This window comes from Homo sapiens, chromosome 18, assembly GCF_000001405.40.
Source record: "Homo sapiens chromosome 18, GRCh38.p14 Primary Assembly".
NCBI classification, from domain to species: Eukaryota; Metazoa; Chordata; class Mammalia; order Primates; family Hominidae; genus Homo; species Homo sapiens.
Window position 1 is genome coordinate 24654030 of NC_000018.10, and position 25695 is coordinate 24679724.

The 25695-nt window shown below is 42.1% G+C and overlaps 2 long non-coding RNA genes across 2 annotated transcripts in view, besides 1 other annotated feature; one reads left to right on the forward strand and one right to left on the reverse strand.

Annotated features, from left to right (window-relative positions):
• LINC01915 (long intergenic non-protein coding RNA 1915) overlaps positions 1 to 8169 on the forward strand; it is a 34017-nt gene extending 25848 nt beyond the window's left edge. The window contains exons 2-3 of the long non-coding RNA NR_040033.1: positions 5706 to 6065; positions 6291 to 8169. This is a non-coding gene — a long non-coding RNA (long intergenic non-protein coding RNA 1915). The remainder of the gene's footprint in view (positions 1 to 5705; positions 6066 to 6290) is intronic.
• Positions 1993 to 3395: an enhancer, noted in NCBI's record as "VISTA enhancer hs1169". NCBI's record gives its function as "enhancer in: midbrain (mesencephalon)[7/8] | forebrain[5/8] | trigeminal V (ganglion, cranial)[4/8]" and the evidence as "EXISTENCE:transgenic organism evidence [ECO:0001131][PMID:17130149]".
• Positions 8170 to 14808: 6639 nt separating the features above from the next.
• LOC105372027 (uncharacterized) lies at positions 14809 to 17556 on the reverse strand. Its single transcript, XR_007066315.1, has 5 exons — positions 17467 to 17556; positions 17208 to 17272; positions 16887 to 17021; positions 15875 to 16003; positions 14809 to 14893 (listed from the first exon to the last, which is right to left on the reverse strand). It is a non-coding gene; the product is annotated as an uncharacterized LOC105372027 (long non-coding RNA).
• Between the last annotated feature and the right edge of the window lie 8139 nt (positions 17557 to 25695).

Genomic DNA, 25695 nt, shown 5'->3' on the forward strand with positions numbered 1-25695 from the left:
CTTAATTGTACATGTGTAACACATTAGAGCTTAGTATATGATTCCACATAAAGGAACTCCTTTATTTCTGGAATTGCCTTGAAGGGAGGCATCGGAGTTGCTGTTCTCTCTGTTGTCAAGTGAGGGAATTAAGCCTCAGTGGAATGATAGCCCAAAGTCAGGATTCTACTAAGTTGCAGAGTCAAAGTCAACCTAGATTTTTGACTCCATCATTCTTTCCTACCACATCGGGCTGCTTCTCCAAAGAACTGGTGAGGAAATTTCTCGATCTGCATTTGCTTATTCAAATTCTTATGATCACCTTAGTATTGATGTGGGTGGTAGCAATCTACACCAGATATATTTGACCTAAAAGAATCAAGGGCACAGAAGAGGGTAAGAAGCTTGTCAACCTTTAATGTGCAAACAAGTCACCTGGGGATCGGAAATGTTAAAATGTAGATTCTGATTCTGGGAGTCTGTATTTCTGACAAGTCCCTCAGTCGATGCTGATGCTACTGCTCCTCAGCCTCACAGAAGAGCTGGGTTCTTAATAGCAAGGTTCTTGAAGAATCAAAGTAAGAAAAATTTAGGAATATTGATTTTTTATTTTCCAACTTTTCAATGTGTTAAAACGCAAAACATTTTTCTGCATTAATTCAATCCATAAACACTCCTTAAAAACACACTAAAAAAGGGGGCAAAAATGAAGCTGCAGGATTTTTCAGATTTTAACCAGCCATAAGATAAAAATAGCAATTTCTAAGAGCTTCATTCAGGCATTTGATTGACGAAGCTCATAAACAGTGAGTCAGTTAGGTACCCATCCTATGCCAGAATTCCCTTCCAGTTTTATAAGGACAAGGTAAAAAGACACAGCCAAATTTTGATCAATTCGTGGAGACCACACTAAATCATTCTGGGGATGACAAAGATTCTCTTGTGGACTAAACTCTAATCAACTAGGCCCTGAATCCAACTAGGCCCTGACCTTTGGACTTTCGTATTCACTGAATTCCATGCATTGTCCAGTTTTAGCAGGAACCCTGTTAAGTCAGTTTAGACAGACTGTCCTACCTATGATATCTGATCACCCTTGATATCTGATGGGGTTCTTCATCCTCCACCCACCAGCTCCTCAGGTGATGTCTGGCCACCCTGGCCTGCTGTCAGCAAGAATCCTATTAGGTCAGTTTAGGCAGAATCCCCCTTACCCCTGAGGTTTCCCCCTTTTATTATTTTTTTTTTTGAGACAGGGTCTCACTCTGTTGCCCCAGCTGGAGTGCAGTGGCGATGTGACCTCTGCCACTGCAACCTCCACCTCCCGGGTTTAAGCAATTGTCCTGCCTCAGCCTCCTGACTCCTCTTTGGAGGTCTGGAGGCACGTGCTTGTAGTGGCACTGCCATGTAGCCATGCCTGGCTAATTTTTGTATTTTTAGTAGAGACGAGGTTTTGCCATGCTGGCCAGGCTTGTCTCGAACTCCTGACCTCAAGTGATCCGCCTGCCCTGGCCTCCCAAAGTGCTGGGATTACAAGTGTGAGCCACCACATCCAACCCTGAGGTTTCCTCTTAGTAATTTCCCATGGACTGCTCCCCAGCCTGCCCCTTGACCTCCTTGCCTGTAAATTCCCACTTTTCCTTGTATTCTGAGTTGAGCCCAATTTCTCTTCCCTACTAAAAAAACCCACTGGAGTAGCCCCTTTGAATAGAGTTTGCCTTGCCATTCTTTAACAAGTATCATGAATAACTTTTTCCTTCACGGGGATCGTAGTTGTGTTGGGTTATCCAGGATCCAGCTTCAAATTATAAGAATTTTCTCAGTAGACCTCAGAGAAGTTTCTGGCTGTCTGTGATAAACTTTGGAAACCTCTCAAAATGACACCCATTCCCAGACCTTCACCTGGTTTTTGGTTTCTGTATTGTCAAGGTCAGCCACATTGTGGCTGACCTGCAACGTGTCTCCTCTCTAAACTTGTCCTTCCTTCTTGCCAGTGCCCAGCTTTTGGCTCCTGCTCCCACCATCTCTAGCTTTTCTTCAGGGACTGGAGTAGGGCATGGCCACATAGAGGGTCATTTCAGGGTTAAAAATTGAGGCAAACGTTACAAAAAATTAAAGTGGTGACGACCTTGGAAACTGGGATTGGCTTCTTAATCCTGGGACATCTGGTGGCCTTAGCTCAAGCTCCACAAAGCCTCCCTGTGGCTTTTCCTGGAAAAAAAGAAAAAAAAATCCAGCAGGCAATTAAATTCAATCCCCCACCCCTTCTCGTGTTCCGTACCAAACCACATTGCCAGCCTGTCATAGAGTTCTTTTCTTGACTGCCTTGTGACTCAAATGACAAAATATTTCCACTCAAAGTTTTGGGAGCTTCACCTCCCTCCTATTTTTTTTTCCTATAAATGGAACCCCAAAAGTTTGGGCTAGATATATTTTTTTCCCTTTTTTAAAATGGACTTTTTCCTTCCAGAAGCAATGATTCAGGGCAGACAATTCAACTTATTTGTCTACCCATCCATCCCTTTATTTATTTATTTGTTGTATAAGGTAATAGCTTATGGTACTTACCCAGAGCCAGCTGTTTGCAGGATGCCGAGAGCAGGTGGTCTTGGAGGCCTCTGATGAATTGCAAAAGACACTCACCAGCTGCCGACACTGTGTGTAATGAGCAAACCTGCAAAAATCTTTATTTTCAATTGGATTGTACCTTTAAGTAAGCAAGGGAGACAGCCAGTATAACTACAGACCATGACCAACAACCCACATAAACAGTGTGCAAACACAAGTGATTAATGTACCACTATTTCAAAACATCTAAAGCTAATGAGTCAGATTTACTAGGGTGCACAAGAGAGGGGGAGAGGGATGTGGAGGAGGAGAGAACAACTTAATGGGCCTTAATAGCCTTTAGTTGAAGCCTAAGAATTCTCCTGCCTGTGGTCCACAGTGCCATCTGAGCTGGTAAACAAACACCCTGCTGGCCCACAAAGGCCATTTTCTTTCTGGCCATTCAGGGAGAGGGGTGTTCCAGTTTCAGGAATAGAATTAGGGGAGCAAGCTGGTGTTCACCGCACCCTCCAGTGATCTCTGATGATATGCGGGGATAATGGGTTACAAAGACAGACATTAATAAGGTAAGATAAGAGGGGGGAGGTTTATTAATTTTTCAAGTAAGTTAGGATGCCCCAGGGCATGGTAAAAGTGTAAAGAATCTGGTGAGCGATGAGGGGCTCGCCTGATTAATGCAAGTCAGCTGTCCTCTGAGGGCCATAGCAATAATGATGAGATTATGGAAGAACCTACTGAAGACAAATGAGATGCATGTGGAATAAAAACGAAGTGTCCTAGTTACTCTTTTGGAGTGCATGGTGGATTTTTATTAAGGAAGAACAGAGGTACAAATGACAGCCTGAGGAAGTGGGACTCTGCTTGTTCTGCTCAAGTGCTTTCTGCCTGGGCCTTCCAGGAATTCTGGGCCTGCCCTGGAGAAGTGCTGAAAAGGCAGTGCATCCAGCAACAAACACCTTCCACGTAGGCAGATCGGACGGAGAAGGGCTTGGTGCCTCCACCAGGCCCCCATGGCCTGTGGCTTTGCCTCCAAGCACTGCCGTGCACGGCCCTCCCCTTCCTGCTGTTGTTTCCTCCAGGATGTGCTGGGAGCTGGGCTGCCTTGTGGTTCAGACGTCCTCCATCTGTTTCTGTTCTGCCACTGCTGACCAATTAATTTGGAGCTGGAGACAAGGGAGCTTGCATTCTTTTTCTTTTCCTTCTCAGGATGCTCACTAGGTATTATGTCCTGTCTCCGTGTGGTCCTCATCTTGCTTGTGTACTTCTCTTCCCTGGCTTGCCATTCAGTCTGTATCTTCCCATGGAGGCAGAGGCAGCGTCCCCACTCAGCCCCTGCCTTTGACGTCCACGTGCAGACGGTGGCAGCAGGGACCCTTGAACTTCAACATGCAGAGTTATTTGAGGAGCTGGCTAAAAAGGCAGCTTTAGGTCTTAGCCTCCAAAGAGTTCAGCCTAGATACCAGGAATCTGCCTTTTTAGTAAGCACTTCACAGGTGGTTCTGATACTAGTGTGCTCAGTTGACAGTTTGGGAAACACTTTGAAAGAGTATGAGATGGACCATGGGTTGCCTCTGATAGATTATTCTGAATGTCAAAGTGCCTAAAATTTCACTGTGGGTGATTCGCCTTTTTACATCAACTCACAAGACTTAAGGAGTTCAGAGTAAGATGTCAGTCTGCCACCCCCACCTCCCACCATGCAGTGGTAACCCCTCAAATCATTTTTAGAAACGACTCCCTTAGTGTGAGTCTGTTTATCACACTAGAGCAGACAGCTTAGAGCATGATGGCCAGACTTCTATGGAAAGATTCATGGGTCAAGTTGGAAAGGAGGAGGCAAGGGAGCAGAGGACAGCCTGGAAGAGCAAGGACAGTTGGTGGGGAGGCAGGATATAGGCAATGGGTCCCCTGGGGCCAAAAGCAGAAGTGGGGGAGATGGAGAGGAGGAGGGGGCTGGGGGACAGTGGTGAAGCCAGCAGTTCTCAACTTTTTTTTTTTTTTTTTTGGTGGCAAAGCATTTCTTTTCAAATGAAATCTAAGTGGAAATACCAGTTGATAAAGCCAATTAAATAATGTATTAATATACATTTTATTTCAAATGTATAACAATTATCTTTATAATGATAAATTATATAGATGAAGCTGTTGGAATGAACACAAAAATTAGAAATTGGTGGCTACAGATAACAGTTCAGCCTTAGATCATCTGGAATCAGCAAATTTGCTCAGATAAATGCTGTAAATGACAAGTTTGTTGGCAGCTGGCTTTGCAATTTTAGGAGATTCCCTTAGACAAAGTGAACTGGACTCTTGGATGAGGAGTAACAGGAACTTTATATTTTAAGGTTGGATCACTCACGATATTTAGTAAATGTTCAAATTCCTCTCATTGAAAGGTCACTGCAGAAAGCAACCAGGACATTGAAACAGGAGTTTAAATAGTCTCTGACATGGTACAACCTAGCTTACTATTACACGAATGCAATTACCCTACAGGAAAAGAAAGCCCCAAGGAGAGGCAGGAACCCTTGCTGGCATTGGATCAAGCCCTTCACTCATGTGCTGTAAGATGTGCTTTTAGGCAATTTTACTTGAACCGCCAGGCACAGGCCAGAATTTATGCAAATATCAGTGCAGCCCTACCACATTCCTAGTCAAGGAGACAGTTCTTGGACACTATAAGAACCTTTATTCCCAGATATGTACAAAATGATTTACTTGATAGGCACAAGTTCACAATGTGCTAAAGGTTGTAAGTTTTAAAAAGATACAATTTATATTGAATTTATATTAAAAACAGAATGCACTTCCACATGTGTTAAATTTATGTACGTATGCAGTTCATGCGTTGACATTTAAATATAATGTACATTTAATTTACCTAAAAATGTGTAATTTTCTTTTCAGGTGGGGGGTTAGAGAATAGGAGATAGGTGTCATACTTTTGAAATACATATTTAAATAATGAAATTAAAACAAAATATGTATAGAGCCCTTAGATGCTTTCTGAGGAATGCAGGATTTGGAAAATCAGAGGCTTGGGCCAAGACTGCGCCTAAGACAGACCCCATCACTAAGGATAAGGTGGGCAGCAGGGACTGGACATTAAGGAATGTCTCAGAGCATCTTTGGTAACACTAGATTTTTCTTTCATCCAGCTACTTGTGCAAGAAGCTACAATGAGAAAAAAAATAGCAAGAAATAGATGAGGGAAGGAGGTTCTGTAGAGGGAAAAACAAAGAGAGAAAAGGAGAATGAATTGTGCTGAGAAAGAGATGCCTGGATGAAGAAGCTGGCCCTAGCACCCATAAAGCTGGAAAGAAAGTGGGGCCTTGGAAACTTCTGGAAGGATGCGAGGAAAGAAAAATGCAAGGAAATGAGATGGAGAGGAGAAAGAGAAACCAGGAAGCACTTCGGAAGCATGTAAATTACAAGGAAATGAGGAACAGCCTTTATTGAAACAGTCTGTGAAGTCTGTGCTAGCGCTGAGAGCTTCATTTTACTGTCCTGGCAAGGAGGTAGGTGCTCAAAGAACTTTGTCTTGGAAGCCCACTGTGGCTCCCCCGGGCCTGGCACTTTAAGCCCCGTACTTTTGCTCTCACTGTTCCTCTCTGCCTGCTCCCTGTGGTCTCTTCTCGGCTGTCTCCCACTTAGCCCACCTTGGCCTGGCCATCCGAGTAGAATAGACTTTCATTTTCCTTAGGTGTGCGCCGCGCATACCGACTAACCCACTTCCTGCACAGGTGTGGCCCCTCTCCAGTGCCCAGCACCTCATCGCTGTGGTAACAGAAGACACGCTTATCTTCCGGATTTTGCCTCAGAGACTTGGGCTGTACAAGCTGCTTTCCTGGGGTGGCTTGTCCTTTTGCAGTTAACCGAGATGCCTGGGGAGAAGAGCTTCCCCCAACAGGATGGCAGGCGATGCTTCCAGATGCGGTCACTTGGCACGTCTGAGCCGAATGTCTCCATAAAAATATGATGTAATTAACAGAGCCGCAGCAGCTGGAACAATTCAGCACCTCACATTGATTTTCCATGTCTCCTATTTACTTTCAGTTTTTAAACTGTCTGCAGTGACAGGAAATCAAAGAATTATAATGGTGTGTGTGAGGGCCCAATGCTGGGTCGGCATTTCCTTGTGAAATCCTGAGATTAATCAGTTTCCTATCACTCAATCATCCCTTTTCACTTCTAAAGGAAAACTGTCCTCCCAAATGCTACGAAATAGCAGTCTATTTTTGGATATTAAAAAAATCAATTGTATTATTTTAAAATTTGAGAGGAGTGTTTTTAAAAAAAGTCAGCCCGAAGCAATATTCACTTATCTGTTTTCCCATTCAAGTTTAATAGGAGTTGGCAAAGGCATTTGGGTGCAGTGAGACACAAGTACTATATTCACCCTTCCCAAGTTTTGAGAGCTTGGAAAAGTTACTTGGTGGAACCAAAGAGAGGAACTGCATTCCAAGTTTTTTTGATCACTGAAATGAAGGAAAATAAGTTTCCCCATATGTGGTTATTCATGAGCCTTCATCTGAAGCTGGTGGTTTTCTCATAGTTGGTCACTGTATTTCCAGCTCTGTCAGGTGAAAGTCAGAATCTTGGGTTAATTTCACTTTGGGTTCCTTAAAATGCTGGAGAAAATAGGCAGCTGCGGTTGTAGTGGGGAAACAGGCCTCTGTCTGAAGTCAGCTTGCTCTAGATTGTGTTTGAAAACATGCCTCAGATTTAAGTGGTCTTGCTTTTTTTCCAGACTCCCTTGCCTTGGCAGATTCTGTGTCTTGGCCATACTGTAAGAACTCACTTTTCTTTGTCTTTTTATTGATTCAAGCAATATAACCATTTCATAAATAATTAGGAAAATAAAGAAGAAAATTTCTCATAATTCTACTGCTCAAACGCAATAGCTATGATTGCTTTGGAGCAATTGCTTTGGGTCATTTTCAAATGCTGAGTTTTGGTATGATTCTAAGCATAATGTACAAACAACTTTACATGTTGCTTTTTCACTTAATCTATGTCAGAAGCATCTCCCCAAGTTATGATTAGCTTCAGTAATTATCTTTTTAATTGCTGCCCAAACAGCTGGAACAATTCAGTCCCTCTTATTGACTTTCCATGTGTCCTATGGAAGTAGAGACAGTCTATTAACTATTTCTGTATTTTGGGACAATAGATCAAATTCATTTTTCACTGTAATTAATCCCATGATAAGTATCTTTATAAATAAGCCTTTTCTATATATAAGATAATTTCTTTAGGATAAATTCCTAGAAATTACAGGGTCAAAGTGGATACATATTTTATGACTCTTGATATTTCTTATTGACCTTTAAAGCTATTATGTGACTTTATATTATCACCTAAAATGTTTGAGGAATTCATGCTTTACGAGCGTATTTTATTGACTAAATATGCAGTACTGAGAGAGCTTTATGTGTGCAGTTTGATGATGCTGACAGATATCCCGGAGATAAACATTTTTTAATTTAAAGATGTTCTGTTTATGTTTAACATACAGAAGTTAATGTTAAACATGATGCCTATTTTGTTTAACATACAGAAGTGACTGTATTAAAGCCATTTCTTCTAAATGTGCAATAAACTATGAATTCTTTGCCTGGTTCTAATGTTCTGTCTCATCAAACCTCATAAAACTAATTAGCATCATAACCCCTTAGTTTGCCTGTGAATTTTGAAGATGATATGAATTTCTCTTCCATGTGAAATAGAATTTGGTGGGTATCCCTTTGCTGGGAATAACTCCTTTGAAAAATAGAAAAAATACTGAGCAGAAAGAAAGTACATTTTCTGGGAAAAGAATAAGAACCCGGAGAGATGGAGTGAGAATTGTACCACAGAGTCCCAGCAGCAGATGTTTTGGGTGTTGAAACTCCCACCAGAACAGCTGCAGAAATGTAGAATCACATCTGGGTGTGTGACGCGGCTGCATTATTACCTACAGACAGCAAAACAGCCAGATGCTTCCAATTCATTTTGAGGACCAGGCTTCAGGTCTGAACCTGTGAATGTCTCCACTTCCCGACCAACAACTTATCAATTGCCGAGACAGCTCATGAAAACTTCGCCTCGCGGGCACTTTAAGGACAAATCTCGGTTGCAGCAGGTAGAGGCAGAGTGCAGCTGCTGCACACCCGGCCCTGCAGCTCTAGCTCTGCTCTCGGGCTGGAGGATAAAGCCATCAAAGCCCTTCCACACGACGGTTCCTGCATGGCTTGTCACCGGTGCGTGAGGCTTCTGAGGGCGAATTCTGTTTAATCTCCACTCTAGTTCTTCAAATTCTCATCTCTCTCTCCCTTTTTTTCTCTTTCCTCTTTCACTGTCTCCTCTCTCACTCTGCGCATGTGTGTGAGAGAGTATCTCTCCCTCTCTCCCTCTTTCCTTCTCCCCATTCTCCCAAATATAAGCTTCTCCCTAGGACAGTGGAACAAATAACTGGGTGATCATTATAGTAGCAAATGGTTCTTAAGACTCGGACAAACACTGTGATTTTTGAGTGCACAGCTATTCTGTCATTCCTCTTGCCTTACATGGATATTGAAGTCAGTAAAAGTGGCCCCTGGTGACAGGGCTCCAGCCAGCAGACAGGCTGATCACAGACTTCAGCAGCCTCTTGTCTCTCTGACCAAGTACCAAGAGTGCAGCGCAGCTCACAGGCCCTGGGGGAAGGTCATTCAGTATATAACTCTCAGGCCCGGAAGAAAAGAGTTGTTCAGCCTGACTGACATGGAGAAACCCCATCTCAACTAGAAATACAAAATTAGCTGGGTGTGGTGGCGCGTTCCTGTAATCCCAGCTATTGGGAGACTGAGGCAGGAGAATCACTTGAAACTAGGAGGCAGAGGTTGCAGTGAGCCGAGATTGCAACATTGCACTCCAGCCTGGGCAACAAGAGCGAAACTGCATCTCAAAAAAAAAAAAAAAAAAAAAAAAGGAGTTGTTCAATGTGAAAGCCTCAAGAGAAAAACGATACTCAAATGTGTAAATCTCAACCCCTACGGATGGTCAAGAGATAGGTTTCTCTCAGGAGTAGCCTGTGTACACCTCTCCCTCCCCACAGAGTGAGCAGAAGCTGACCAGAAACATTTGGTGAAAGAAAAGCTATCTTCAATCATCACACTCTTAATTTCCTGCAGGAACTTCATGTTTGTTATTAGAAGTATTTTTATTATGCTAAACAACCAAAACCATTCATACAGAGCTTGCAAATAGGGAGGCCAAGGAAGTTCTCTCATCAGCCCAACTGAGGCTTGGATCCATCTCTTCAATTGTTACTCAGAGTCTTGTGCAGAGCTCTCTCTTGAAGGAAGAATTGTAAAATGTAACAGAATCATAAAAGAGGTTAAGATTCACCAAACAGTTATTTTTGGGGAGAGAGGATAATTTTACAGAGGAAGGAATAAAAGCCGAAAGAGGTGAAATAACTTGCCCAAAGTTTCAAAGTGGAGTCTGGCCCCAGATCCCAGGTTGTTGAGCCCCAAGCTCCATTGTGTGTTCTTTGTCCTGCTGCCTCTTTGTTGGCCAATACCACACCAGGGTCAAGTAGGATGCAGTTAACTCTAGAACTCTGGGCTTCTGGTAGTGAAGGTCATTAAACTTGAGTGACAAGTTGTGTTGAGTAAAAATGATCCTAGAGTTGAAGAAATGGACATGTTATTCATGTCCATTGTGACCTGTGAGAGGTGTCTGCTGTTGAAACGCTTTTTATTCAGTAATAATATTAAAGGAGTATTATTGAGGTATGGACCAATTGCTGTGGTAGGGACTGTGAAGTACAAGTTGTATATCCTGCCTTTAAGGCACTTATAATCTGGTGAGATTAGCAGAGATAGAGGAATCATTAAGTAATATTCAAGATGGTGGAAGCAGGGCTGTGAAGGTTTGTCTATGCTGTGGAGTCCTAAAGGGGATGAATGTCTCGAAGCTTGGTGGGCGAGGAAACTTCAGCCAGTGAGGTTTGGGGAAAGTGTGCTAGGGTGGGGGTCAGGGTCTGAATCTGGAAAGGTGCAAAGGACTCCTAATATAGAGTAAACGAGAAACAGTCCAGAGGTTTGGAATTTGAGAAAAAGGGTGAAAATGAGAAATGATAAAGTATGCTCAGGGAGTGGCCTTTTTGTGTAGTGTGTGAAGCAGAAAAGGCTGAAAAGAAGACTCAGAATTAGATTGCAGTAATCTTGATGACCCTAGTCCAAGAAAGTGGAAATGACAACACTGCTTGTCAGCTGGGGCACTGCTTTGATAATAAGTGGGCTTCCATAAACTCAGTGGGTGGTGTGTGGACCAAAAGGACTATGGCTTGAGTTTAAGGCCAACTTACAAATCCTGTGTGTTTTATGTTTTCACCACCTAGCACTTCTTTTGGCAACTATATAGAAGATTGTCTTATATCCTGACTTTGTCTTCTGCTAAGTCTCTGTAGCCACCTTCCAACTCAAATGGAACAACCAGAAGGGACACGCCAAAGGATGCCACATGGCAACCTCTGCCACTAAACACCTGTTCCAGAAGGAGCTAGTAGAGGATTATGACTAGTTCTTCACCATGAATTCATTAAAATCAGAAGAAAATACACACCAAAGGAAATCTGATTAGACCTGACTCGAGGTACAGGTTGAACATTCAGTAGAGTGGCTTTTGTGGCACAAAGAGGAAGAAGCCCTTTGGGCAGAACCTGAAGTGTTGTGAAATGGTACCCAACCCTGTGGGGAACCTGATGGAGTGGCAGTGGCTGAGGACTTCTGTCCATGAGGCAGCTGCTGCTCCTCCAGCAGTGTGATTTAGACATAGCTAAGTGTTCAGAGCTGGAATGGGCCCTACTCCATATTTAGTGCAACTCCTCATCTCAGTAAATGTCTTGACACTTAGGTAAGGTTAGGGAAGTGATCTGCCTGAGATCTCTCACTTTTGTTAGGGAATGGCTGTGAGACCCCATTCCAAGCCCAGCTGTCTGCTTTGCTATCACTTCTACCACTTGAGGACTTAAGAACTTCCTCTTACTGAGCCAAGAGGCTCATGCCTGTAATCCCAACACTTTGGGAGGCAGAGTGGGAGGATCCCTTGAAGCCAGGAGTTCAAGACCAGCCTGGGCAACTAAGAGAGACCCTGTCTCTACAAAACAACAACAACAGCAACAGAAAAAACCAAAATATTATCTGGGCACGGTGGTGCATACCTGTAGTCCTAGCTACTCGGGAGGCTGAGACAGGAGTATCACTTGAGCCTAGGAGTTCAGGAGTTCAGGAGTTCAAGGCTGTGGTGAGCTGTGATCATGCCACTGCACTCCAGCCTGGGCAACAGAGTGAGAGCCTGTCTCTTAAAAAAAAAAAACTTCACTTGGGGGCCTGTCATTTTATTATCTCTCCTAGAACATATTTTCTTAAGACTAAGGCAGTAATGTCTTTCTTATGGGCAACGTATCTTCATTGCTGAAGGTCTTAAGAATTTAGGTCCTGGATCCCTATGTCTACCCACAGGGCTGGTGCATCCACCTGCATAACTCCAGGGAGCATGGGTCACGTGGAGTTTGATGGGGATAGTGTCCCCTGCAGTTGGGCAATGCAAGGCTGGCTCATGACCATTGCAGGTTCATTTCTGCTAGACTCTCCTAGGAGTCAGTACATTTTCCTTAGTTCCAATGTTATTTTTCTCTCAGTCCAAGCCAGAATCTTTCCTACATAATCTAAAAAGCAATTTCTTTCTGCCTGATTCCCCATTGCTCGTCTTGCATTTCTGGCAAAACAGCACCTGTGCCTGGCTCAGCCTGGGTTTCCCTTCATGGTTTCTGGTGTTGATGGCAGGCTTCCTGCTTATTCCTTCAAACCTTACCTCCTGTCCATTCTTCTGTCTGCCTCATTCTCTCTCTCTTACCTATTTCTTTATATTCATTTATTTAGTATTATTTGTATAGTTATTAAAGTCATCTATGTGGACATAATTTTAGCAATTTGGCCAGGTATGGTGGCTCATGCTTTTAATTCCAGTGATTTGGGAGGCCAAGGCAGGAGATTGCTTGGGCCCAGGAGTTTGAGACTGAAGTGAGCTAGGATGATGCCGCTGCACTCAAGCCTGGGTGGCAGAGCAAGATCCTGTCTCTAAAACAAACAAATGAACAATCTCCTCCAACACAAATTCATGATTCAATTTATCAGTTAAAGGTTTAAAATCAAACCTAGCAGCACCCTTGTTCCACTTTTCTCCTCCCCATTTTCTCTCCATTCATTGCCTGCTACTTCTAGCTTTCTTAGTTTTTTTCTTATGTACCTGCACATTCATAAATAATTTGCTAATGTTACTAATGCTTGATTTATCTCTTTTAGATATTACCTATTTACTCTGTATTATGCTTGTGAAACTTTTCTCTAATCATTCCCTTCCCCTTTCTCTTTCCTCTCAACATATTTGTAGCACATTTTCATATTTATAGCCCATATTCAGGGTTTACATTATTGTGGCTATGTAAATATTATTTACTACTGAGGCAAACAAGTACTATATTTACATCTAGTCTATTATACAATGTTTTTCCCAGAAGTTAATAACTGTCTTTTTTTTCCATTTGCTTAGTGTTCTGTGAATCTATCACTAATTTTCCTTGCATCTTCTGACAGCTGTGTAAATGCTTCTCAAACAGTTTTCCCCAAGTTCGAGATATTAAATAATCTAGAATTCTCCCACCTGGCCCTTACTCCCAGGTTGGAGGCTTTCCTCCTAGAGTTCTCCAAACTCCCAGAGTCTGCATTGGTTGCTCTTCAGGCTCATTGAACAGTTGTTTTGGGATTCCTCTCCTATGTTATTCTGGGGTTTGTTTTCCACTCTCTCCTTTCCTGGATTCCAATTTTGTTTTATTTGTGTTTGTCCATTTGTATTGCTATACAGGAATACCTGAGGCTGGGTAATTTATAAAGAAAAGAGGTTTATTTGGTTAACAGTTCTGCAGGCTGTACAAGAAGCATGGTGCCAGCATCTGCTTCTGGTGGGGACCTCAGGAAGCTTCCAGTCATGGTGGAAGATGAAGGGCAGCAGGCATCACATGGCGAAGGGAAGAAAGAGCAATGGGGAGTAGGTGCCAGGTTCTTTTCAACAACGAATTTTCATGAGAACTAAGAGTGAGAACTCACTCATTCCTGCGAGAATGGCACCAAGCCATTCATGAGGGATCCACCTCCACAACCCATACCTCCCACCAGGCCCTACCTCTACCAATGGGGATCAATTTTCAACATGATATTTGGAGGGTCAAATATCCACATCATAGCACCTTGTTAGCTGATTAAACATTTTAGGGAAACACTGACTCCAGTTAGTCTTGAGAAAGGGTGCATAAGAGGCATATTACCTTAGTCTGTGTTTATCTGAAAGTTCATTGTTTTACCCTCATACTTGATTAAGAGTGTGTCTTGGTATAGATGTAGACTGAACATGCTTTTTTTCTCAGAATATCAATTGTTATGTTGTTGTCTGGCCTCAGTGTTGCTAGTAAGAGGCATGATGCCATTTTTATTCCTTATCCTTTGTGACAGGTTTTCTTCTCTGTCAACTTACAATCTGTCCTATTTCTGATATTCTGAAATTTCATAATATTTGCTTAGGTAGTTTTTTTGGTTGTTGTTTTAAATACATGATGCTGGGCCTTCTCTGGAAACTCATGTCTTTCAGTTCTGGGAAATTAAACCACTTATTAGATTATTTCCACCCCATAATTCTCTCCACTTTCCCTTCTTGGAATTTCAGATGTTGGATACATTGGCTTGGTCCCCTAATTTTCTTTCTCTTCATTCTCATCTTTTTCTTTGGCTTTTCAAGGAGAGTTACTCAACCTTATCTTCCAAGTGTTCTATTGAATATTTTTTATCTTGGCTAATTCATTTTTTCACTCCGATTATACTTTTTAATTGCATCTTATTCTTGTTTCATGAATGCAATACTTTCTCAAAACTTTCAGATGACAATAATATCTATAGGGTTGTTTGTTTTTGTTATTTATTTTTCTGCTCCCTCTATTGTCTCTATGTCTTCTCAGCCTTCCAAAAAAAGTTTATTTGTTAAGTTCTCTTTTTTCATAGTTGAGGTCTTCTACAAATGTCTGGTGATCCTTAAATGTTTATTTATGATTAAGAAGTGGTACACTAAAAAGCTAAGAGGAGACTTTATGTGCATGGGGTGGCTTGCCCCTCAGTAAGCATTATCAATAGATGAGTGGGCTTACTTGATTGATGAAGAACGTTTCAGATGAAGTCTCTGTGGATCTTGTCCCAAGGGCCAGTCAGTCTTTTTGGAGAATTATCCTTCATTTTCATGCCTGGAATGTATACATCTGGGCACTCGTGTTCTGGAAGCAGAGACAGAAAGGGCACTTGGAAGACAGACTTCCACCTAGTGCCTTGTTTTCAGCCTCACACCCTGTTGTTACCAGAACATGAAGATTCTCTGGTTGAAGTTCTCTAAAGAAGACATGTTTACCTGCCTGGAAAGGATGGAGCAGGGAATGGGTTGGGAGAGGCCAGAGGGAAAGAGCTAGTGTTTGGTGAGCTGGGGTGGAGTGAGGGAAGAAGCAGATACATACTGTGTACAAATACAGACTTTTAGTCAGTATCTCTGCTCCAAGCCCAGGCCTCCTGCCAGCTTCCACGGAAGCTATGGTGTGCAGATGTCCAGTCTGTCAAGGGTTCTGTGGGTGAACTTGTGTGTTCTTCCATTATAGCCTCTTCTCCTCTGCTGAGGTAATTACCATTTCCCCATCCCTTCCCCGCTCCACAAATCTGACTTCTTACCTACAGCTGTTACCTCTCCTGTTCTTGCTGACTTGTGGGTTTACATCTTTTTAATTCTTTTATTGTCATTTCAATCAGGATTTAGGCGGGAGAAGGATAAACATGTATACTCTATTTACCATATCTGACCTAAGGTCTCTTGTTTTTTTTTACATGGCTTTCTGAAATCACACACAGAGGCCCAGGCATAGAAAACATCAAGGGCTGTAGTTCATAGCCAGTTTGTAGTAAACAAGAATTCCTTTAAGTCTTGGAGGCTGCCTCAAAGGGAGAAGCCTTACCCAGCTGTGGGGTCTCCTGGCCTCCCCTGCACTGGCTCGACAGCACCAGGGCCAGAGGCACCTCAGGGAATTGTCTCTCCTTGAGCAGCTGCTGAAGCATCAGGCACAGGGGAGCGGGAGACAGACCTCTGGGATAGCTTTTGTGCAATGTAATTGAGGTCCGAAGCAGCATTTTTTCCTATTTAACCACAATGCTCAGACTCACTCCAAACTACCCCATCACATTTATTAAAGGGAAAAATAAGTGAAGAAACAAACCTGGGGTTATGTTTCATGGAAAGCTTGTCAAAGAAGAAAGGCTTTTCCTCCTTATCTGCCTGTTCAACTTGCAAGCGGACTGTTAAGCAATTAATATTTTCCAAGTTTTCACAAGTGTCCTGTAGAGAACTGGGACAGGAGCGATGCTTATTAAAAGAATGTGATAAATATAAACAATAGCAAAAGGCTTTGCAGTCAAGAAAGTGCCAAGCAGAAAATATTGTAAGACCAAAACAATCATGATAACCCCCTCCTCCAAACAAACAAAATAAAAGACATCACAGGCAAAATTCCTTCTCTCTCTCCCTCTTTTTAACTAGGGAAGGAAATCTTGCTTGTGAGCAGCTGAATTTTGAAAATCCTTAAGAGATTTATTAGAAATTGATTTGTAACTGCAAATTATTTTTTTCTTTTATCACTGCAATGTTCATTAAATGTCATTGTTATACAGTGCATCAACGGTGCATTAGAAACAGGCCTTCCATTTCTTTTTAGGCTGAGCTTGGCAAAAATTTAGATGATATCTGAAATATGAAAGTTTCTGTTGTAGCTGAATTGTGTCCTATACCTTCACCCCAACCCAATCTGACCAGTGTCCTTATAAGAAGAGGAAACTTGGAGATGGAGACACCAGGACATGCATATATAGAAGAAAGTCCCTGTAGGGATACAGCAAGAAAGCAGAGATCTGAAAACCAAGGAGAGAGGCCTCAGGAGAAACCAATTTGCCTACACCTTGATCTTGAAATTCTAGCCCCCACAACTGTGAGAAAATAAATTTCTGTTGTTTAAGTGCCACGCAGTTGGTGATATTTTGTTGTGGCAGCCCTAGCAAATTAATATAGTTCATTTTCCACCATATTTGATTGAAATTTGGATATAACAAAGAAGATCATAAAAATAGTAAGAATAAGATGCTTCTAAAAGCCAACTTTTGCTAACAGTTGAAAAATCAGGTATTAGATCATGGTTAAGAAACATGACACATATGGAATCACATTGGCCCCATCACCTGTGAGCTGAAGGTCTAAGGTGTTGAGTTGAGCTGAGGTGGGGCTTGCAGAGTTGGAACATGGAGCCTTAGACTCTCTGTCCCCTTAGGGCTTGTCCTCAGTCTGTCATCTTTCAATCTGGCAGGGGGAGGACCCTGAAATAGAAGGTCTTAAAGGGCAAGGGAAGAGTAGATTGAGGGGGTTTCCTGGTGGCAAGTGTTCCTGATGGGAAGTGAATCAGGGGTCCATTCTGCCCTCTCAAACACCAATCAGCATGGACAGCAGCAGTCTGGGTTGTGGAATGCTGCAATGGACAGCTGGAGAAATGGCCTCTCACTCACAAAAAGATGCTTAGTGGGCAGAGTGCCCTGGAGTCTCCTGGGCCATCTTATTTCTCTCTTTCAGGCTGAGGAAGAAAGGAAAAAGTATGGCATTCATTTAACTAGATACTCAAAGTGCTTCTATCTGGGCTAGTAACTCAGCTGAGGAAACAGCTGAGCACTAGCCTGTTTGTAGCCCCATGCCTGGAGGTTGCAGGTTGTCACAATTTTCCAGAAGCCAGCGAGAAAAGCCAGGGCATCATGTTTAGCTTGTACTCACCATCAGGAAACGTGTCACCCTCTCTGTGAGTGCAATGCTCATGCTGACCAAGGTCCTAGATCCAAAGAGTGAACCACTAAAATGAGTAAAATTGAGGGAGAGTTACAAAGACAGAGAGGAAAGGAGGGAGGGGGAGAGGGACAGAGAGGGAAAGATGGAGATTTAGAGAGAAACAACGAGAGACACAAGGAAAGCAGGCAGAGAATAAACAGAGAGAACCAGATAGCCTGGAGAAAAGCAAGTCCCCGTGCCAGGGCTGAGAGGCTGGGAGATCCTCACCCACCCACTTCGGATCTGCACTCATCCCCACCTCTTAGCCTGTATAACCCGTTGGAGCATCAAGGCTTAAGGAAGTCCGTGGAGCCTTGTAAATGTGATATGGTTTCTAATGGATACCCTGTGAATTCCCTGATGTGGAACAAAAAGGTTGTGGGACCAAAGTTAATATTTTTAGGTTTTATTTAAATAGGGGGTTATGCCAGGGATTCAGTCATGTGAGCTGGACATCTCATCCAGGTGGGAGAGTCAAATCAAGAACTGAATCCTGGGGGCGGCCAGCAGGACTGGGGGCAAGGCATGTTCATTCTTCCTAAATGAGTCTTTATTGCAAGAGTGCTGCTTTCTCTCTGGTGCTTGTTAAATACTGTATTTATGCTGTGTATTTGTATACAGTGGGATTAAGGGACCAAACTGAATTACTGATGATGGTTGCTTGAAGGGGTGTTTGACTAGGAGATTTACACAGCGTTCTTAATAATCTTTTTTATTTATTTATGGAATGTTATCATTCCAAACGTACAGTTCTGCCATCCCTTGGGAAAGATGCTTTCTGTTTGAGGGCCACCAGCTCTGCATGTTGATTTGAAAAGAGATAAAAGAGCATCTGGCCACCACAGCACAGGCTGCACTTCCCTCCCTCTTCATTATGCAGAGAGCTGATGCAATTTTTGCTTCTTTCCTATTTATACAAATAAAGACCACAATTTGGGAAATATGTCATGCTGGCATTAAACACCACCAATCTTGCTGGGTTGAAATGTACACGTTCCATTAACAACAATTATATTGTATAATTAAGGTTTTGGTCCCCAAAGTCTGACGTGGAAGCTTCCTCAAATACCGATGGGTTTATTGAAGATGTTAAAATAAATATACCCCTCCCGTTGCCCTCCTCCACTTCCCCATTCCTCGCCCCCCTTCCAAAAGCACCACCAATACCTGAGTCAATGACTTGGTCTGCAGTAAAAGTGGGGTTCAAGTGCCCTCTAGTGTAGCTGTGACTGTGTGGATATGAAAATAGAAAAGCTTTGAAAAGGCAGACAAATGCCTGCAAGCAGAATCATCGAACATTCCTGTACATTTGATGGGGCTCCTGTGTACGAGTTCCACATGATCAACACTGGGTGCAGGCAGGTGATTTGGACCCCTCAGGATGATGCTGTCCATACAATCTTGCTATAATGGTACTCTCCATCATTCTTTTGTGGGCCTCTCAGTTCAAGTTTATGTGGAAATTTCCCAAGGTGTATGCAATCTTGGCACACTCATGTGTAAACAGTTACAGGGAAAGGGCTAATGAGGTTCAAGCCCTTGCACCTGGGAGTGTCTCTTGACCTCCCCTCCCCCACCGCCCTTGCTCCCCCCCACTGCCAACCCCCACCACAGTCTTGGCACATTTTACTCTTCTGGCAGCTGGAGAGAGCTCTGACCTGTGTCTCATCAGTGAATGCTGGTTGTGACAATAATGAATTTCTAATGGCAATTAACACAGTGACAGGGTTTATAAATTATAGATTATGACAACACTCCCTGCGATCTGGTTTTTTCCTTTGAAGACCACCTGGCTACCAATAACGGTCTCACCAGCCAAATCCTGTATTTGTGGGCCAAGACAGAAGAAGAACAACAATGAAAAAAAGCTGGAAATCTTAGAGCAGACTCACATCTTAACTAGGAGAATACGTGCTGGCCCAAGTGCCCCAGGACTGAAGCAAATCAGACATAGGGGAGGAGGGAGAATGTTAGAATGAGGCACACCTGATTCAGCCGCTAAATAGTCTGGTTGGCTAAGAATCACAATCGAGGCATTTTGCCTTTCTAGTTTTCTTTGGTGAAGATCTGTGAGCATCCAAATGATATGAAGAGCAATATGGCTAATCTGCACTACTTCGTGAGTACATATATTCTGAAGAAAGTTGTAGTTGGGAAAGGTGAGGATGGGTCACTGCTCCATCCTCAGACAGGACTGTAGTGTGTGGGTGTGTCGATGTGTTTCCTTGCTGAAAGTGAAAATTGGGTAGATTTTCTTCCAGAATTGAATGATGGTGGAGGCATGATTCCTGGGTAGGCCTACACATATAGCACATGATTCTGTATTTAGTTACTCTTTAAATCCCTAGGAGAAAATTGGCTCAGGATAGAAAAGGGAAATATGTTGAAAATTTTGGTAGACTTCCTGGAAATGTGGAAGCATGCGCAATTTGTGGAGGTGATAATGTTAAGGGGATTGAACAGATAATAAACTCATACTAATACTAAGGTGAATAGGCAAGACGGATTATTTTGGGAGACTCCTGTGGCAGAAACTATTGACTACTTATCCCAAATCAACCAGTTCCTTCTTCCTTCTTAGTAGAGTACTGAATTTGTTTAGAAACTGGGTCTGTAGGAGCTTCAGAGACCCCTCCCTAGCCCTAGAGGCAAATATTGATTACAGTAAGACAATTGTGGGATGTGTACGGGAAGCCTCTAGGAAATGTTTCTCTTGAAATCCATAAAGGGAAGCCTGGGAGGAATACTTCCTCTTTGCTGGATGTGGCGTCTGCGTGTACCATCTGGAATTGCTGTAGCCAACTTACAAATACAGACGAAAGCTTTATCAACCTGCTGAGCACAGCAGAATGGAAAGATGCAAAGCACCCTGCTCTTGGGAACTGGCCACCTTCAGACTTCTTGCTACATCAGGTAACACAGTTCTCTCATTGTTTAAGCCACTTTCAGTTGGGGTTTCTGTTACTTGGAACTGAAAGCATCTTAACTGATACAACCACTATTTGAAACAGTGCATAACAAGAATGTTGTCTTTGAAAAATCAACACCATCAGAAGACAGGTGCTGATAAAGCAATTACCTACAATGAGAAGATCTTTAAGATCCCAGTTAGTTCTGACATATCATGCTCTAATCCGTGGATCTTTGTCATGGAAGAAAACAGAACAAGAAAAAAGTTCATGGAAACTTTTGGGCTAAACTATTGAACCCACCTTGGGTAGTGTGAGTAAAATGTTCTATATGTGTGATTCACACACTTGTGAAATTTAGACTTGCATTTCTTACTTTCCAAAGCAGAGAGTGAAACAGATCGATATCTCTGCTTAAGCAAACCAGTAATTATAATCGACAAGAAGAACTGTAAATTGTTTTCAATTGATGACTGAGTAATCACATGATATTTAAGAATTTTCACCCAAATGTCATCTTGAGCCAAGGTATGAGAATATGCCATGTGCCATAAGGATAGAGTTGATAATGTGTTTTTTGACTAATAATCATACATAAGTAGGTATTTTTTCTGAAAGACTTAGGCTATGCTTTGTAAGAGTGTACTTTATATTTATTAGGCAATGCATGTCATTAATTGATATAATGTTTACAAGTAAACCCTCTTTAATATACTTCAACATTGACAGCCTTGGTAAGGAAGAACAAATAACGTAGTCTGTGTATGTATACAAATAGGGTTTACTTTTTTAATAAAATAAAATTTAGGGAAGACTAATTAGATACATATTTATTTATAGGTGTATTGGTTGCAAGTAACAAGCAGTTCACAGAAAGCAACAATAATTGTAGGGAGACCTTATTCTCAGATTTTCCAAGTCTATTTCAATTTCAAATATTATTTACTATGGTGAGAACAATGCGTATTGATTTTTTGGTTTAGAAAATATGATCTGTCAGAGGACACATTTTGCATTAACTCTACCCTGCAGCAAGCCCTCACACTGTGTGTGGAGGGGAGGAAGGGAGCAAAAGGTAGATGTAGGGGAAACTTCCTGGAGACCCTGGCTCCATAACCCAGAGGGAGCTGCCCCCCTGGGCTTTTCCAGCACCCAGCAGGGGCTACCTGCTCCCTGGGGGCACTGGCAATGAATGCTCTTCTCCTGTTTCTCCTCTGCAACACTATGCTTCACCTTCTACTTCTGGGAAAAGGTTGCAAGTAAGCTTGTCTTCCTCACTGATTACTGCCCACCTGAAACTTGGGCTCCACCAGTCATATATTGTTCTGTGAGTGTGATCAGTGCACAGGAGGAAATGAGTTTGCAGGGAGCTCTTGAAGCAGATAACTTGAAATATAGCCCAAAGAATTGTGTTGGAATAGGTCCTCACTTCCATCTTGACTAGAAGTTTGGGGAGAAGGGGAGACATTTCACATTGAGAAGATGACATTTAACTTTAGGGAGGAATATCCAGAGAAGGAATGATTTTACAGGCAGACAGAGGTAGGTTTGAATACAGGTCTGATACTTGTTGTGTGACCTTGAACTTGAGCACTGTTGAAATCTCATGATGCCTATGCAGGGTTGTGGTCATCAGGATTGGCAAGATAGCATATGAGGAACTCAGCAAAGCAGCTGGTTCACTGTCAATATCCAGTAACTCCTGGAAAAGAAATCAAGGCAATGAGTTAAATAACATGCTCTATAAGTGACATCTAAAAGTGACATGAAAGTACGCCTTAAAAAAGTCATCAGTATAAGGAAAAGCTGTGTTCTGACAAAACGTAACCGGAAACCTATTGGATAATAGAATGAATTAAAGGAGCTCAGCAAATCCAGGGATCTAATTGTCATACTAAGAGATTAAGCTTTTACTTCTGTGACATGCTCTGAATTAGGAAGTTTCATTGATTACCTTCTTAAGAAGATAGCTTTCTGAAGGCCCATTTAAGATTTAGTAGCAACATTATTGAAGAGTTAGTGTCCTGTTCCCTTTTGGTGTTTTGGGGTGAACTACAAATCTTACATTGGGAGTCTTTCAAATAAAAAGTATTTTTAGGTGTTAATTTGGAGGCCTTTCCAGGCAAGGATGCCAACTTTCTTACAGCAACAATGCAGAAACCAGGCCAGTCCTCTACCCTTCCTGCAATTTTCTATTTGGTCTAAGGTAGCTCTGTGGAATTATGTTTTTCTGTATGATTATTTCCATGGCACTGATGAAGTTACATTTTTTTAAGTTGTTTTTGTTTTTTTTCTGTGAGATTGAGTCACTTCAGGAAAACAGGGTGCTTTAAATGAATAATTAAAGTTGTCTTTGTTGATTCTTAAGGAAGCCTCAAGAATGGAGAGTTGAATGGTAGGGTTAGCACTGAAATAGAATAGCTGAAGCAGAGATGACAAACATCGTGTGCTGATAGCTTACCAGATCAGTGATGGAAGTGTAGAGCATATCTCTGCACTGAAGGCTGAAATCACCTCTGAGACACCAGCAAGACCCAGCATGGAGCCAAAGGAGGACTGATGGAGAGTGGCCCCACCATTGTGAATGCTGGCATTGGAGCCCATCACAACCTATATCAAAATGGGTGGGCTGAAATGTGAACTTTCTAGTACTCCAGCTGTTCCTGAGATTCCTAGAACAGGGACACTTCCTAGTTAGCCATCTGGAGGCATATCTTGGGTCTAACTTATGAGCAAGTGATTAAAAAAAAAAGTGAGGAGCATCAGAATTTGGCCACTAACCCGGACTAATGACTCACAGGGTTGGCTATTTGAAAGTCATGCCTGCTACTCCCTGATCTTATTCATTTCTTAAGTGACATTGATTTTTGAATTTGGGCCACTTATTTTCAAATTTCTGAGGGTGGTAGATAGTATTGGGGGAAAAATACCTCAAATGTATTTTTAAATATAGATGAGCAGTGAGTATAAGGTGGAAGAAATCAATCGGCACAATTATATTTTGCAACAATTATAACAAGTCCCTACAGATAATAACCACAGTGAAATGATGAATACTGCTTGTCCTCCTGTGACCTTCAGCAACACCTCCAGCAGCTCAGTGGTCAGTCGTAGGCTGCAGCTGCGCCAGATTAAAAATGCACCATCCTGAGGGGCCAGAGTCACCTCTACAGTAGTCACCCTGTTCTTGAGGTTCTTAGCATATTTTATCTGGGGTTAAGAACCAACTAGTATCTTTTACTTGATAGTAAGGTGAGGTGGGGTTGACACATACAGGTGAGCTCAGGGACAACCAGCAAAATAGAGAGACATAAGGGCAAAAAGCTTTTCTAGACTGGAGCTTCACCTGCTGCCCAAGCTGTTACCATTTTCTGTTGTGCATGGAGGCAACTGTTCCTCTGGTGAGAAATGCTTGAAACCACATCATTCTAATGCCACCCTTTAAGAGTTTTGAACCCATTCAAATGATTGCAAATACTTGAAATTTTCATCTCTATGTATGTTCCTAATTATCTATTCCAAATAACATGTCAAATATTTCTTGGTATTGCTTACTATGACTGAAGAAAATATTAATGTTAAGGACTTAGAGCAACTGTAATCTCACTTTGTTTTCTTATAATGGGGATAAGGTTAAATGACAGTCCGAGGTTACAATTAATTTACTCTTTCAGTGAATACATATGAAGCCCCTTTTGTGTTCCAAGCATTGTTCTGGGGGCTACAGATAAAAATAGAAGAGCAATAGATAGGGCATTGTCTGCCTTTAAGGAGCTCACAGTTTGGAAGGGAAGTGGACCTAGCATCAAATAGTAACAATCAATTGTGGCATGTGGACAAAGGAGAAAGGCACATGGTGGTGACAAAGGGCTGAGTGGATGGAGGACTCTGAATCCCAGCTCAGTACTGTTGCTGCTGGAAAGGGACTTATGAGTTCCCAGAATAAAGAACACTTTGTTGTTGTTCAGTCTTCATGGTTTAAAGAGCTTCATCAATGCAGAGTTATTTATGTTATTCTCATATACTGTTAGTTTCAAGCATTTACGAACAATCATTAATCTGCCTACCAAAGTTAAAAAATAACTTTATATCCATACATGCTTTTTAGTTCCCAATGGACTGGCTTTCACATGCATTTTCTCATCAAAATCCAAAATCCTATGAAGCTGAAGGAAGGGGCTTAATGAACATTATCCCCATTTTTCAGATGAGAAAGCTGAGGTGAAGAAAAGTGAAGGGACTAGCTCTAAGTCATAAAGCTAATTAATTGGCAGATTGAGCCATGTGAATTGAGGTCTTTCTAACTGCTTGGAACATGAGTGCTTGTGTATATTCCAATGCTGAGAAGACTCATTCCTCGAATGAGTGTCATTCAATGTAGGTTTCACATGTGGGTTTAATAGGAATACTGGGTTAGTCATTCCCTCCTTTTAGAGACTCTCGTTCTTTGAATCCTGCACTATGTCACTCTGCACGTTTCTTGTATACTTTTGATTATTCTTTCTCTGTCTCCTCTACCTGCCAGGTGAGTGTTGGTGCCCCATGGGGCTGACCCTGCTATGTGTCTTTCTCTCTCACACTCTGGACAATCACATACATTTTCAGGGCATCAGTACCATGTCTCAAATCGGATTTTCTAACTCTGACCTCTCCCCAGGCATCAGAAAAATATACCAGCTGCCTGCAGGACATCTCCCGTGGATCCCCAGAAGTCCTCTACATTCCTGCTGAGTGATCCTTCCCACCACTCAACACTGGAACCCTCACTATTATTCTTAATTCACTTGATGTCAGCATCATCTGCCCAGACACCCAGACTCAAAAGCCACGTGTTTCTTCTCCCTCACATGTCACATCTAACTGAATCATCACGTCTTCATTTGGTCCTCCAAATACATTTTTTGAAATCTGTTTCCTCTTTCTCATTCTTGTTGCCACTGTCCTGTATATTTTAATGGGTCCTCCAGTATGTCTGTGGGCTTCTTGAGAGCATATTGAGGAAAAGGGCAAGCGATATATTCATTCAAGCATTCATTCACTAATTAACTTCACAAAAAATTGAGACATATGTCGCAGCTACTGAGAAACACTGGGTTGAATCTTTTGAGAAAATTGAACTTGACCTGGAAACCTTATAGTTTTTTCTCATCCTGTCTAGGTTAATTAACCCTGTATTACATAGCTCTCAGGCCTTAACAATTTCACGCTGGATATCTAGCTGTTGTCTAGCCAGAGAGCAAAGATTAAATGACAGTTCTTATCAATCATT